This window comes from Homo sapiens, chromosome 17 (assembly GCF_000001405.40).
Source record: "Homo sapiens chromosome 17, GRCh38.p14 Primary Assembly".
Classification (NCBI taxonomy): domain Eukaryota; kingdom Metazoa; phylum Chordata; class Mammalia; order Primates; family Hominidae; genus Homo; species Homo sapiens.
This window is the reverse complement of record NC_000017.11, coordinates 58253610-58268828: the sequence shown is the minus strand read 5'-3', so window position 1 is coordinate 58268828 and position 15219 is coordinate 58253610. Positions and strand designations below refer to the sequence as shown.

General features: G+C 42.3%; 1 protein-coding gene across 5 annotated transcripts in view; it reads right to left on the bottom strand.

The window, feature by feature from the left end:
• LPO (lactoperoxidase) overlaps nt 311–15219 on the bottom strand; it is a 29935-nt gene continuing 15026 nt past the window's right edge. For 4 of the 5 annotated variants that reach the window (NR_027647.2, NM_006151.3, NM_001160102.2 and 1 more), the window contains 5 exons: nt 13858–14018; nt 3855–4107; nt 2503–2676; nt 1243–1480; nt 311–1042 (listed from right to left, as the gene is read on the bottom strand). Coding sequence is in view for 4 of the 5 variants with exons in the window: in NM_006151.3 (NP_006142.1) it covers nt 835–1042; nt 1243–1480; nt 2503–2676; nt 3855–4107; nt 13858–14018 (1034 nt within the window). In the remaining variant the exon portion in view is untranslated. The remainder of the gene's footprint in view (nt 1043–1242; nt 1481–2502; nt 2677–3854; nt 4108–13857; nt 14019–15219) is intronic. The other variant, XM_011524808.3, reaches the window with a different exon arrangement.

Sequence of the window (15219 nt, the reverse complement as noted above, 5' to 3'; positions counted from 1 at the left end):
TGCCCCTTCAGAGGCATCACAGGATCTAAGGACCACTCTAGAAGAGGGTATTTCTCAGAAGGGCCACTGGAAGGGGTATTAGCTTCAGCTGCGGGAGACCCAGGCTTGGTTTCCCTTCCTGTTTTATCCCTTGGCACCACCGCCTACCGTCCCCCCCGTGTCCTCTCTCTTGCTACTCCACGGCCAGTGCTTGTTTTCCCCAGGAGCCCCCTGCCCCTCCCCTTTCTCTGAGAACTCTTAGAAATCCCACCAAACCATCCCCTTCCACCTCAAGACCCACGCACGCGCCATCTCAGTGGTAAGACATGTATGGCCTGTAAACGTCTAGTTACTTATTTGGCAGTGATTCCGAGGTCTGCTTTTGGAGGGAACGGTGTCACGCCTAGCATCTTTAGTCAGTCATCAGATGTTTTTGAGCACTTCTAATGTGCTGTGCACCATGCTAGGTGCCACAGGGGACCCTCGGAGGCAGGCTGAAGTCCTGGCCCAGGGAGCTTACAATCTAGGTGAGAGGACAGGAAGAAAGATAAAGGTTAAGGGCCAAGACTTGTGGAGGGAAGAGGACAGGTAACATCCAGCAAGCTGGAGCAGAAGGGCATCTCAGCGGGGCTAAGTCTTGACAGAAAGGAGAAGCCACTGGAGCTGAGTGTAAGAGCTGGGAGGGCCGAGGCAGCCACCCTGGGGCCTGAGCAAGCTGTTCATCCAGGGGTATAGAGAGGCCCAGCTGCAAAGAAGGGCTGGGACTGGGATATGGAGCTCTAAGGGACCAGGTCATTGAACTTGCTTGAAATGGCCCTGTGGACCAAAGGGAACTTTCCTGTGCAGCGCGGGCCCCTAATTCTTCACTGAGGCCCAGGGTGACAGGTCCAGCTTGTCGATGGCTGAGCAATCCACGAAGTCATAGGGGTAGCTGTTGGCCCAGAATGGGTCCCGTGGGACCTTGGTGATGCGGGTGTTGTCACAGACAAGGCGTGAGAAGGACATTTTCTGTAGAGAGTCCTTCTGCTCGTTCGTGAAGACCCCAGGGTTTTCCCACCAGAACCTGCAGAGACAGAAGTAGAGTCACTCCACAGTCTGGCCGCTGGCCCCTCCCCACTCTGTCACAGGGGAAGGAAAGGGTCACAGGGACCATGAAAAGCCCTACTCACACTGAGATCCGGAGTCAGCGCTCACGCAGGACCTTGGGACACCCCTCTTGGAGAAGGGCCCTGCCCTTCCCTCCCTGGCTGAGGACGCACTTGCCTGTCTCCATCACGGATCTGCTGGAACTGCTTGCCCAAGAGGCAGGCCAGGAGAGGCCCCACCCGACCCCTTTCCACCAGCGGCTCAGCAATGGCCCCTATCCAGATGTCGATGTTGTCAGGGGTCCCGTAGAGACCCAGTAACTTCTTGGCCAGCATCTTGCTCTTCAGCACTGTGTTCAACTCCTCTAGTGTCTGCGGCTGTGAGAGGTCACAGAAGGCTCTCCAGGAATTGTACCCTAGGGTGGAGAGACTGAGGCTGTCTCATCCCGGGGACTTCCTGTTCACAGCCTCCTTTGGGGCCATGTCCACTCCAGCTCTATCAGCCCTAGAAAGTCTGGGCTTACAGCCTTTGGGATGGGGAAGGAGGGAATCCATTGTTTTTTATCTGCACTTCAATCTTAAGGGGGCTAGTTGGTTAAGTCCTATGTAACCACTAAGCAATCATGAAAGTTATGTGGTATGTACTATGAGTCCAGGCACTATTCTAAGCACTGTGCAAATAAGTAAATGAAGAATAGAAATGTTAAGTAATTTGCCCAAAGTCTTATAACTAGTAAATGGCATAGGCGGGATTTGAACTCAGGCAGTCTGGTTCTTAATTAAATTGCCTTTCATGGGGACAAAAGAAAGGTCCAACAGTCATTGGTTTCTCTCTATTGTTTTCTTAATGTTTTCAGGGCTTTTAAACTGTTTTTAAAGTTAGTTGGTGACCTCTTTTTCATTTAAGGAATGCCAAGATAGTACCAGATATATGCTCTTTTCTCTGCATTAGGGGAAATGGGACATTCTGTTTCATAGATGAACAAAGTGGGTTTTAAGAATGGCCTGGGGCTGGACATGGTGGCTTGCACCTGTAATGCCAGTGCTTTGGGAGGCCAAGGTGGGAGATTGCTTGAGCCCAGGAGTTCGAGACCAGCCTGGGCAACATAGCAAGACTATGTCTATATTTAAAAAAAAAAATAAGCTGGGCATGTGGCACACCTGTAGTCCCACCTACTTGGTAGGCTTAAGCAGGAGGATTACTTGAAGCTAGGAGTTTGAGGCTGCTGTGAGCTGTGATCGCACCGCTGTACTCTAGCCTGGGCAACAGAGCAAGACCCTGTCTCAAAAAAAAAACCTCAAACAAAAAAAACTGGCCTGACTTTTGTTTCAGAATTGATCAGATGATCAGATCCTCAGGGTTATAGAAGAGAGTCTCCAGGAGCCCTAGAAAGTTAGCTAAAATTTCCCCAGTGCAGGCCAGACTTCAGACACTCACCAGGTTGCCCATGGTCCCGGCAACGCTGTGTGTTGATGGCAGCCAGGTCAAAGCCATGGATCCTGTGAGTTGGCTGGAAAAGCTTGTTGCGCAGCTCTCCAGTCATCATTTTATTCTGTTTCATCAGCTTGGATTTCTTGGCCAGCAGGCCCCGCACCAGAGGATCAATTCCACCTGCCAAGGGAGACCCAGAAGCCATGCTTAGGTTGGGGGAAGAGTGGGAACATCATTCATGGCTTGCCTCTGCCTCCACCAGACATTTTCTCTTAGTTGAATGTGGGTCACCTGGACATCCCAGGCTGGAAGGAGGGAGAGAAGAGCACAGTGCAGCCTGAAGGGTGTGCTCAGGGAGACAGGGGCATCCAGATTGTCTGCTCTGGGGGTGGGCAGAAAGGGGCAGTCATGGGATGATGGCATGAATATAAACATTGAGATATTTTTTGGCCATGCATGGTGGCTCATGCCTGTAATCCTAACACTTTGGGAGGCCAAGGTGGGAAGACTGCTTGAGCCCAGGAGTTTGGGACCAGCCTGGACAACATGGCAAAACCCCGCCTCTGAAAAAAAGGCAAAAAAATTAGCCAGGTATGGGGGTGTGTGCCTTGTAATCCCAGCTACAAGGGAGGCTGAGGTAGGAGGATCATGTGAGCCCAGGAGGTCAAGGCCGCAGTGAGCTGAGATTGCGCCCTTGCACTCCAGCCTGGGTGACAGAGTAAGACCCTGTCTCAAAAAAAAAAAAAAAAAAAAAAAAAAGGTATTTTTAAAGCTCTAGTTCATGGAGTCAGCTTTTTCTTCCATATGTTCTGCTGAGGAACGTTGCATAATGGGAAGAGGTTGCATAAATCTCAAGGAAATGTCCTTGACTTGCTAGGCTTTAAGTAAAGTTAATTTCAACACAACATAGCCTAGGGATAAAGGAAAGTTGGGTCCAACCTCTGGCACCTCTATGAAGTGAAAAACTCTAGAAGAGATCAGAAAAGAGCAATTTATTTACCAAACCCTGTAGAAGTCAGAGAAGCCTAGGGCGGGGAAAGGAGGTAGGGAAATCCCAGTCATCTTAGAAGCCAAGAGGAAAGAAAGAATAGCTTATATTTATTGATCACCTCCTGTGTGTCAGGAACCATTGTAGGGTGCTCCACATGTATATCTCATTTAATGTTTTGGATAGCCTCGTGAGATGGGTACTATTATTGTCCCCATTTTATAAATGAGGAAACTGAGGCTCAGTGAGGTGAATTCATTTGCCCAAGGTCATGTAAAAGTGCTTGGAATCTGACTTCCAACCCAAGTTTCCCTACAATAGGCTGCGGAGTGGGAGACCCAGGTGACAGCACTTCCCTGAAAGGGCATACCATCTTTGACCATCCTCCAAGTGTTGAAGAAGAGGGTGTGGAGGGGGAGTTCTGGTTCTGGCCCCCATGGCTGATAATTCTCATCCAGGCGGAACATACTAGAGGGGACCTCCAAGTGGCCAAAGCGGAAGGCGAAGGTGAAGACATTGGAAATTCTGGGATCCACAGATTCACTGTAGCCTTGATATGGGGGTATCCACTTCTGCATGTGGTCACCTAGCAAAATGGGTAGGTAGTCCCTAAAGGTGATAATCTGGAGGGAGAATAAAATCAAGAGGAAAGGGTGTAAGAAGGTTTAAACCTCTGCAGAGGGAGGCTGTGAAAGAGCTGCAGCCAAGAGTGATGAGCTGTTGAAAACCAAGGATGGCAAATGGATAGCATATGTGCCCAGTTCCCATTCCTATGAGCATAGCAGACATTGCTAATCAATCATGACATTTTTTTCTGCTGATCTCTTACGATTTGTCTCAACATAGGCTCTACTAATCAGTCATTTGAATTTGGCATATGAAACGTACTATCTTTGTCATCTTTGTGCTAAGTTTATGACCTTGATGCTAAAGTGACAGTCTTTGTGTGTCACTTTAATGTAACAATGTCAGGGCAAGAGGAATGATAAACCACAGGAATGATTCAGGGGCAACTGAGGAAAGTTCATCCAATCTCCAGTTCTGAAAGAAATACAGAAGAATGGAAAGACTGGTTTCTGGTTTTCTTTTACATAAAAACACAATGAACTAACACAAATAAAAAATTTTCAGAAAAGAAAAATGCCTCCACATAACCTAATAATTATATTAATTTTTATTCTTGTAGTCTTTGTCTATATGTTACCGACTTTTACATAGTTATAATCCTACAGAATGCATACCTGTGCATTCTGCTTTTTTGCTTCACATTTTCCACATTTCTATCTAGCTTTCACAGTGAGGCTCTGTGTCTCTTTGCTCTTAACCCAGTGCCATAAGGAGCTCAGGTGCAGTGGTTCCTGTTCCCCTAGAAGGTTGCTCAGCAACAGCAGGCAGCCAGGGAAGTACTTTCCTGCCTTGCAGACAGCACCAGCAGGGATTGAGTGGGAAGCCCCCAAACACCAGAAGAGTGAAGTAGACCAGAATAGCATTGCAAGGCTCAGGAAACTAAGCTTTGGTGGACCTAAAGCCCACAAAAGTAGTCCAGAACCTACATGCTAAACCTAAACAAGGTAACTATGTGCTAAAATGAAGTGCTTTTTTTTTTTGACAGGGTCTCACTTTGTCACCCAGGCTGGAATGCAGTGATGCCATCTTGGCTCACTGTAGCCTTGACCTCCCTGATTTAAGTGATCCTCTTGCCTCAGCACCCCCAAGTAGCTGAGACCACAGGTGCATGCCACCAAGCCCGGCTAGTTTTTCTATTTTTAGTAGAGATGGGGTTTCACCATGTTAGCCAAGCTGGTCTTGAACTCCCGACCTCAGGTGATCCACCCGCCTCGGCCTCCCAAATTGCTGGAATTACAGGCGTGAGCCACTGTGCCTGGCCTAAAATAGAAAATTTAAATAGGATCAAGGGTCTCCTAATATAGCAACCAAAATGTCTAAGATACAACTGAAAATCACTCATAATACCAAGAGCCAGAAATGCCACGTTTTGAGTAAACAGACAATCAACTGATGCCAAGGATGACATGAATCAGATGCTATAATTATCTGATAAAAATTTTAAAAGCAGCCATTATAAAAATGCTTCAATAATCAATTACAGATTCTCCTGAAACAAATACAGTATCATAGCAAAGAAGTAGAAATTATAAAAAAGAAACAAATCAAAATTACAGAACTGAAAATACACTAGCTGAAATTTTAAAAAAGCTTGAATAGACTCAATAACAGAGTGGGAGTGACAGAGGATAGAATTGGAGACAGATCAATAGAATTTACTCAATCTGAACAACAGAAAGAAAATAGACTTTAAAAATTGCTCAAACAAACCAGAGCCTCTGGGTTCTGTGAGACCATAACAAAAGATCTGGCATTCATATCAATGGAGTTCCAGAAACAGAGGAGAAAGGGGGTGAAACTGAAAAAGGATTTGAATAAATAATGCCTGAAAATTTCTCAAAATTGGTGAGAGGCACACATTTACAGATTCAAGAAGATGAATGAATCCCAAACAGGATAAACAGCGAAATTCACTCCAAGGCATATCATAATTAAATTTCTGAAAACTAAACATAAAGTATTAAAATAGTCAAAGAGAAATGACACATTACCTATAAAGAAACACCAATTCAAGTAATGGTAAAGGGCTGGGTGTGGTGGCTCACGCCTGCAATCCCAGCACTTTGGGAGGCTGAGGCGGGTGGATCATCTGAGGTCAGGAGTTTGAGACTAGCCTGGCCAACATGGTGAAATCCTGTCTCTACTAAAAATACAAAAAGAATTATCCAGGTGTGGTGGTGAGCATCGGTAATCCCAGCTACTCGGGAGGCTGAGGCAAGAGAATCGCTTGAGCCCGGGAGGCGGAGGTTGCCGTGAGTCGAGATGTTGCCACTGCACTCCAGCCTGGGCAACAGAGCAAGACTCTGTCTCAAAGAAACAAAGAAATAAACAAACAAACAAAATATCGGTGAAGCTCTCATCTGAAACCACAGAAGCCAGGGGAAGTGTCGCCACATTTTTCATGTGCCGAAAGACAAGAACTACCAACCCTGAATCCAATAGCTGGTGGAACGATTCTTCAGGAATAAAGGAGAAATAAAGACATTCTCACACAAAGGAAGACTCAGAGAATTTGCTGCACACAGACCTATCCTTAAACAATGGCTAAAGGAAACTCTCTAAACATGAAGAATGGTAATAGAAGAAGGACAGGACCTTCAGAAAGGAAAGAAGAACAATGTAATGGGTAAAAATAGAAGTAAACATCAATTCTTTTCCACCTCATGAATTTTTTCATTATATTTTATGGTTGAAGCACCATCTGATGTGCTATAAAACATATATAGAAGAAATGCTTCAGACAATTATATTTCAAAAGTGGGGAAGGTGAAGGGACCAAATGGAAATGAGTTTTCTACATGTCACTTGAAATGATAAAGCACTGACACCAATAGGTTGTGATACGTTGTAAATCCATATCTCTATCTCTCTCTCTATCTTTATTTCTATATCTATCTACCTATCTATCCGGAGAACAACCACTAAGAAAATTATACAAAGCAATATGTGATCAAATGGACCTCTAAAAAATGTTCAATTAACCCACAGGAAGGCAAGAAAAACAATATTAGAGGAAGAAGAAACAGAAGGAACAAACAGAAAACAAGTAATAAAATGAGAGATATGGGAGATTTAATCCCTAACATGTTAATAATTATTTTAAAGATAATTTAAAAGTACTAATTACTAAAGGTCAGAGATTGGCAGAGTATATTTCTTTTCCTTTTTTTTTTTAAGTGACCCAACTATATGATGTCTAAAAGAAACTCGCTTCAAACATAATGACATAGGTAGGTTGAAATTGATGGAATAAGAAAGATCATGCAGACATAAATTTTTAAAAGCAGGGGTGACTATATTAATATCAGATAAAGTTGACTTCAGAGGACAAAAGTGGAAATTACATAATGATAAAAGGATCTATCCATCAAGAAGATGAAGCAATCCTAAATGATATGGATCAAACAACAGAACTTTAAAGCTTTAAAATACATGAAGCAAAACCTGACAGGACTGGAAGAAGAAATAGGCAAATTCTCATTTATAGCTAGGGATTTCAACACCTGACTCTCAGTAAGTGGGAGAATTACTAGACAGAAAATTAGCTGGAGTACAGACTGAATAGCACCATCAACCAACAGATCCAACTGACATTTACAGAACATTGCATTCAACAACAGCAGAATACACATTCTTTTTAGGAACTCACAGAATATTCAACAAGATAGTCCACAGCAGGGTTATAAAACAAATCTTAACAAATTTAAAATTGAAATCATACAGAGTATAGTTTCTGATCATGATGGAATCAAACTAGAAATCAGGAAGGCAACAGGAAAATCTACAAACGCTTGGAAATTAAATAACACTCTTCTAAATTATACATAGGTTAAAGATGAAGTCCGAAAGGAAACTTAAAAAATACCTACTGAATGAAAATAAAAACACAATATATCAAAATTTGTGGGAGGCAGTCAACTCAGTGCTAAGAGGGAAATTTATAGTACTAAATACATTAGAAAATAGAAAAGATTGCAAATCAGTCATCTAAGTTTCTACTTCAAGAAACTTGAAAAATAAGAGCAAAATAAATCCAAAGCAAGCAGTATAGTTTAAAGGATAAAAATCATATGATCCTATCAATTGATGCAGAAAAACCGTTTGACAAAGTTCTACACCTGTTCATGATAAAAACTCTCATTACACTAGGAATGAAGCAGAACTTCCTCAACCTCATAAAGGGCAACTACAAAACATTTATAACTAATCTTATACTTAATGGTGAAAGATTGAATACTTTCTCGATTGGGAAGACAAGGATGCCTGCTTTCTTACCATGCGCATTTAATATAGTATTGGAAGTTTGAGCCACTAGGAAGTTCCAGGAATTGCCACGTAATAAGGCAAGAAAAAGAAAGAAAAATCATATGGATTAGAAAAGAAGAAACACAACTGTCTTTATTGGCATATTACATGATTACCTGTTTAGAAAATCCAAGTAATCTACAGCAGAATGCCTAGAACTAATTGAATTTAGCAAGGTCACAGGATACAAAATCAACACATAAAAAAATCAATTATATTTTCATACACTGATAAAATAAGTAGAAACTGCAATAAAGCTGTAATACCATTTATAATTCCTCCAAAGAAAATGAAATACTGGGCTGGGCATGGTGGCTCACGCCTGTAATCCCAGCACTTCAGGAGGCTGAGGTGGGCGGATCACGAGGTCAAGAGATTGAGACCATTCTGGCCAACATGGTGAAACTCTGTCTCTACTAAAATACAGAAATTAGCCGGGCATGGTGGCGGGCGCCTGTAATCCCAGCTACTCAGGAGACTGAGGCAGGAGAATCACTTGAACCCGGGAGGTTGCAGTGAGCCGAGATCGTGCCACTGCACTCCAGCCTGGTGACAGAGCAAGACTCCGTCTCAAAACAAAACAAAACAAAATGAAAATTAAATACTGAGGTATAAATCTAACAAAACATGTACAGAATCTGTGTGATAAAACTACAAAATGTTGATTAAAGAAATAAAAAATCTAAAGATTGGGGAGACATACTTAGTTTATGGATTGGAAAACTCAACATTGTAAAGATGTCAACTCTCCCTAAATGTATATATAATTTTAATGCAATTTCTATCAAAATTTCCATAAGGTTTTTTGATAGACATACACAAACTTATTTAATAATATGTATGGAAAGGGAAAGATCCTAGAATATCCAAAACAATTTTGAAAAAGAAGAATAAAGTGTTTTAAGGCTTACTGTATAGCTATAGTAATTGAGCACTGTGGTATGAGAGGAATAGACATACATACAAACCAATGGAAGAGAATAGACAACCCAGAAATAGATCCATGTAAATATGCCCAAATATTTTTTACCAAAGAAACAAAAGCAATTCAATGGAGAAACAATAGCCTTTCAATAAGTGGTGCTGGAGCAATTTGACATCCATAGCCAGAAAAAATTTAAAAAAGCATCTTGACCTAAACCTCACACTTTATGCAAAAATTTACCCAAAATGGATCATAGACTTAAATGTAAAACATAAAACTATAAAACTTCTAGAAGGAAAAAGCAGGAGAAAGTCTTTGGGACCTAGGACTAGGAAAAAAGTTCTGAGACTTGACATCACATGCACAATCCAGGAAAGGAAAATTTGATTAAAAGAACTTCATTAAAATTAAAAGCTTTTGCTCTACAAAAGACCTTCTTAAGAGGATGAAAAAAAAAACCCCCACCAAATTATAGACTGGGAGAAAATCACTGCAAATCACATATCTGACAAAGGACTTGTGTCTAGAATACGTAAAGAACTCTCAAAACTCAACATTACAAGTCAAATAGTCCAATTTGAAAATAGGCAAAATATATGAACAAGTATTTTATTGAAGAGGATGCACAAGTGGCAAATGAGCACAGGAAAAGATGTTCAACATTACCAGCCATTAGAGAAATGCAAATTAAAACAATGAGCTATTACTACACACCTATCAGAAAGGATAAAACAAAAAATGGTGGTGACACCGTCAGGATGCTAAGAAATTGGATCATGCATACATTGCTGATAGGAATGTAAATGGTACAGCCATTCTAAAAAATAGTTTGGCAGTTCCTTTTAAAACTAAAAGTAGAAGACTCAGAGTAGCCAAAGTTATCCTAAGCAAAAAGAACAAAACCAGAAGAATCACATTACCTGACTTCAAGTTATAGTACAGAGCTATAGCAACCAAACAGCATGGTACTGGCATAGAAACAGACACAAAGACCAATGTAACAGAATAGAGAACCCAGAAACAAATCCACACATCTACAGTTAACTCGTTTTCAACAAAGATGCCAAGAACATATACTGGGGAAAAGACAGTCTCTTCAATAAATGGTGCTGGGAAAACTGGATATCCATATGCCGGAGAATAAAACTAGACCCCTATCTTTTACCCATATATAAAAATCAAATCAAAATGGATTAAAGACAAATCTAAGACCTCAAACTGTGAAACTACTGCAAGAAAACATTGGGGAAAATCTCCAGGACATTGGTCTGGGCAAAAATGTCTTGAGCACTATCCCACAAGCATAGGCCACCAAAGCAAAAATGGACAAATGGGATCACATCAAATTAAAAAGCTTCTGCACAACAAAGGATACAATCAACAAAGTGAAGAGATAACCCACGGAATGGGAGAAAATATTAATTTTGCAAACTACCCTTCTGACAAGGGATTAACAACCAGAATATATATGAAGCTTAAACAACTCTATAGGAAAAAAATCTAATAATCCAATCAAAAGATAGGCAAAAGATTTGAATAGACATTTCTCAAAAGAAGACATACAAATGGCAAACAGGCATATGAAAAGGTGCTCAACATCATTGATCATCAGAGAAATGCAGATCAAAACTACAATGAGATATTATGTCACCCCAGTTAAAATAACTTATATAAAAAAGACAGGCAATAACAAATGCTGGCAAGAATGTGGAGAACACATTTGGCACTGTTGGCAGGAATGTAAATTAGTACAACCACTATGGAGAACAGTTTGGAGATTCCTCAGAAAACTAAAAATTGAGCTGCCATATGATCCAGCAATCTCACTACTGGGTGTATACCCAAAAGAAATAAAATCAGTATATCAAAGAGATATCCGCACTCTTACATTTGTTACAGCACTGTTTACAATAGCTAAGATTTGAAAGCAACTTGTGTCCATCAACAGATGAATGGATAAAGAAAATGTGATACATATACACAATGGTGTACTATTCAGCCATAAAAAAGAATGAAATCTAGTCAATTGTAACAACATGGATGGAAGTGGAAATCATTATGTTACGTGAAATATGCCAGGCAGAGAAAGACAAACATGGCATGTTCTCACTTATTTGTGGGATTTAAATATCAAAACAATTGAACTCATGGACATAGAAAGTAGAAAGATGGTTACCAGATCCCTGGAAGGGTAATGAGGGGCTGTGGGGGGCGGAGGTGGAGATGGTTGGTGGGTACCAAAAAATAGAATGATGGCCAGGCGCGGTGGCTCATGTCTGTAATCTCAGCATTTTGGGAGGCCAAGGTGGGTGGACCGCTTAAGGTCAGGAGTTTGAGACCAGCCTGGCCAACACGGTGAAACCCTATCTCTACTAAAAATACAAAAATCAGCAGGACGTGGTGGCAGGTGCCTGAAACCCCAGCTACTCAGGAGGCTGAGGAAGCCTGGGCAACAGAGCAAGACTCTATCTCAAAAAAAAAAAAAAAAAAAAAAAAAGAGTAAGACCTACTATTTGATAGCACAACAGGGTGACTATAGTTAATAATAATTTAACTTAATTGTGCATTTTCAAATAACTTAAGAGTGTAACTGGATTGTTTGCAACTCAATGTATAAATGCTTGAGAGGATGGATACCTCATTCTTTTTTTTTTTTTTTTTGAAAGGGAGTCTCACTCTGTTGCCCAGGCTGGAGTGCAGTGGTGTGATCCTGGCTCACTGCAACCTCCGCCTCCTACCTCCACCTCCTGGGTTCAAGCGATTCTCCTGCCTCATCCTCCCGAGTAGCTGGGACTACAGGCGCATGCCACCACACCCAGCTAATTTTTGTATTTTTAGTAGAGACAAGGTTTCACCATGTTGGCCGGGATGGTCTCGATCTCTTGACCTTATGATCTGCTCACCTCAGCCTCCCAAAGTGCTGGGATTACAGGCATGAGCCACTGTGCCCAGCAGGATACCTCATTCTTCACGATGTGCTTATTTCACATTGTATGCCCTTATCAAGCCATCTAATGTACCCCATACATATAGGCGCCTACTATGTACCCACAAAATTAAAAAATTAAAAAAAAAAAAAACACCTAAAAATGGACTTACCATGTGACCTAGCAATTGCACTCTTAGGCATGTATCTCAAACAAATAAACATTTCTTTTCATGCAGAAACTTATGTTTGAATGATTGTAGTAGCTTTATTCATAATAATCTAAAACTGGAAACTATCCAAATGCCCTTCAAAAGTTGAATGGTTAAACAAATTGTAGTTCATTCATACCATGGAATACTACTCAGCAACAAAAAGGAATGAAATATTTATATACACAACAGCATGGATGAGCCTCAAAGATATTATGCTTAATGAAAAAAGCCCATCTCGGATACATGTTGCATAATTCCATGTATATAACATCTGTGAAATAACATAGAGATGGAGAACTGATCAGGGCTTGTCAGGGGTTAGGGATATAGGGGTGAGGGTGGATGTGGCTATGAAGAGATAGCATGAGGGAGTTTTAGGGGACAGTACGGTTAAGAGTCTTTATTGTGGTAGTACTTGAAGCTACATCTGTGATAAAACTGCATAGAGCTATGCAGACACATACACACACACAGTTGATTGCATTTATAACTGGTGAGATCTGAGTAAGCTCTATGGTTTATATCATTGTTAACTTCCTGGTTTTGCCAGTGTATCTTGGTTATGTAAGACATTAGCACTTACATGCTAATGTAAGGAGGAGACTGGGTGAGGGGTGCATGGGACCTCCTTGTACATTTTTAAAAATTTCCTGTACAATTCTTAGAATCTAATAATCTGCAGGGAGGGAGGCCCAAGAGCCCTGCCACTGGGGCCCGCCTGGCTCCCACTCCTGGCTCTGCCCTCTGCTCGGTGCTGCGCCTCCAGCTACCTTCTCTGTTCCCAAACCTCTGCTTCCCCCGGCCTCTCTGCTGCTTCTCTCCTGTTGTCTCATCCTTTGAAACCCCCCTCCTATTGCAATATATTAGAATCTATAATTATTTCAAAATAAAATGTTTAAAAAATATGTGCATGGTTAATATCAACACATCAACCTTTGTAAATCTCTTCTAGTTAGTTGATCAGCCAATCAACAGTATCCGCTGAGTATGCCCATGAGATGGGCGTAGATGTAGACAATTAAAAAGGAAGAGAATCAAATCAAAATAACCCAAATCACTGCGATGTAGCAGTCCCGGGAGTGAAGGAGCCTACAGTCCCAGTAATGGCACCCAGGCAGGCACACTGAAGGGACCAACGCACAAGTGACTTTCCAACACTCCAAATCCAGAGATTCATTTTGAGACAGAGAAGCTGAAGAAATGAAAGGAAGGGGATTTCAAAGAATGAGACAACAAGAGAGAAGCAGCAGAGGGGCCGGGGGAAACGGAGGTGTGGGAACAGAGGAGAGAGCCTGAGGCACAGCAGCCAGCAGAGGGCAGAGCCAGGAGTGGGAGCCAGGTGGGACCAGGTGACAGTGCTCCTGGGACTCCCTACCTGCACGAAGGCTCCCAGGATTTTCCGGGCTTCCTGGTAGAGCTTCTCTCCATCCCACTGAGGGTTGAGTCTCTTTAGTTCTCTGGCCAGCCGGTTATGCTCGCGGAGAAAGAGGGTGTGGGATGTGGCCAGCAGAATATGCTCTGAGGCTCGAGAATCTCCTGAAAGCCCAGAAGGCAGGAAGGTAGATTCTCCCTAACAGCCCCAGGACCCAGTAACCTGCACAAAGAAATGATGGTGCCCCACAGGACCGCGCCCCGCCCCCCCCGCCCCGTCAACAAGCCCTACTTCCCGTCAGGTGAATAGGGATGGGGAGGGGGTACTGAATCATAGGTTTGACTCTCAGTTCTATATACACACTTTTTAGCTGTGTGACCTTGGACAAGTTACTTAACACTTCTGAGCCTCGGTCTCCTTACCTATGAAAATGAGAATAAAGCCTATCACAGCACTGTGACAAAGGCTAGTGGTGACAAACTACACAGTAACATTTTGCTAATTATAACCCAACCGCCTTCTAGGAAGGGGAGCTTCGAATGAATGAGGAGCTTTTTACTTCACAGAGCAAATTTGAAGGTTTTAGGAATGCGGGTTTGAGGTGAGGAGCTTGGGTAAGGCTGAGTTCCTCTGGGTAATAAAGGGAGAATAATCTGGAGATGGGGGTCTGTAGTGGGAGGGAGAGAGGAGTAACGATGGGGGAACAGTTAAATGGCCAAAGACCAGGTGTCTCATAAGGGGATAAAGGACTTCTCCCTGTGCCCTCTAATCTTTAGGAGAGTCTATCTATCTATCTATCTATCTATCTATCTATCTATCTATATATCTATATATCTATATATCTATCATCATCTATCTATCTATCTGGACAGTCTTGCTCTGTTGCCCAGGCTGGAGTGCAATGGCATTATCTTGGCTAACTGAAGCCTCAACCTCGTGGGCTCAAGTGATCCTCCTGTTTCAGCCTCCAGAGTAGCTGGGACTACAGGCATGTGCCACCATGTGTTGCTAGTTTTTAAATTTTTTGTAGAGACAGGGGTCTTGCTATGTTGCCCAGGCTGTTCTCGAACTTGTGGCCTCAAGCAATCCTCCCACCTAAGCCTCCCAAAGTGTTGGGATTACAGGCATGAGCCACTGCACCAGGCCAGGAAATCTATTTAAAATTGTAAATTCTTGGTGTGAGTGCATATTTTTATGAAAAACAAGAAAGAACTCGGTTTTGTGTCTGGATTGCTGTGGGATATATGTGAACACAAAATCCAAAAGATCTATAAAGGTATCTTGGCCTAAGAGCTGGCCTTCTGCAATGTCAGGGTGGCCAGGGGGTTTGTCCAAAGAGAGAGGATGTTTGAGGGTGGGATGGCC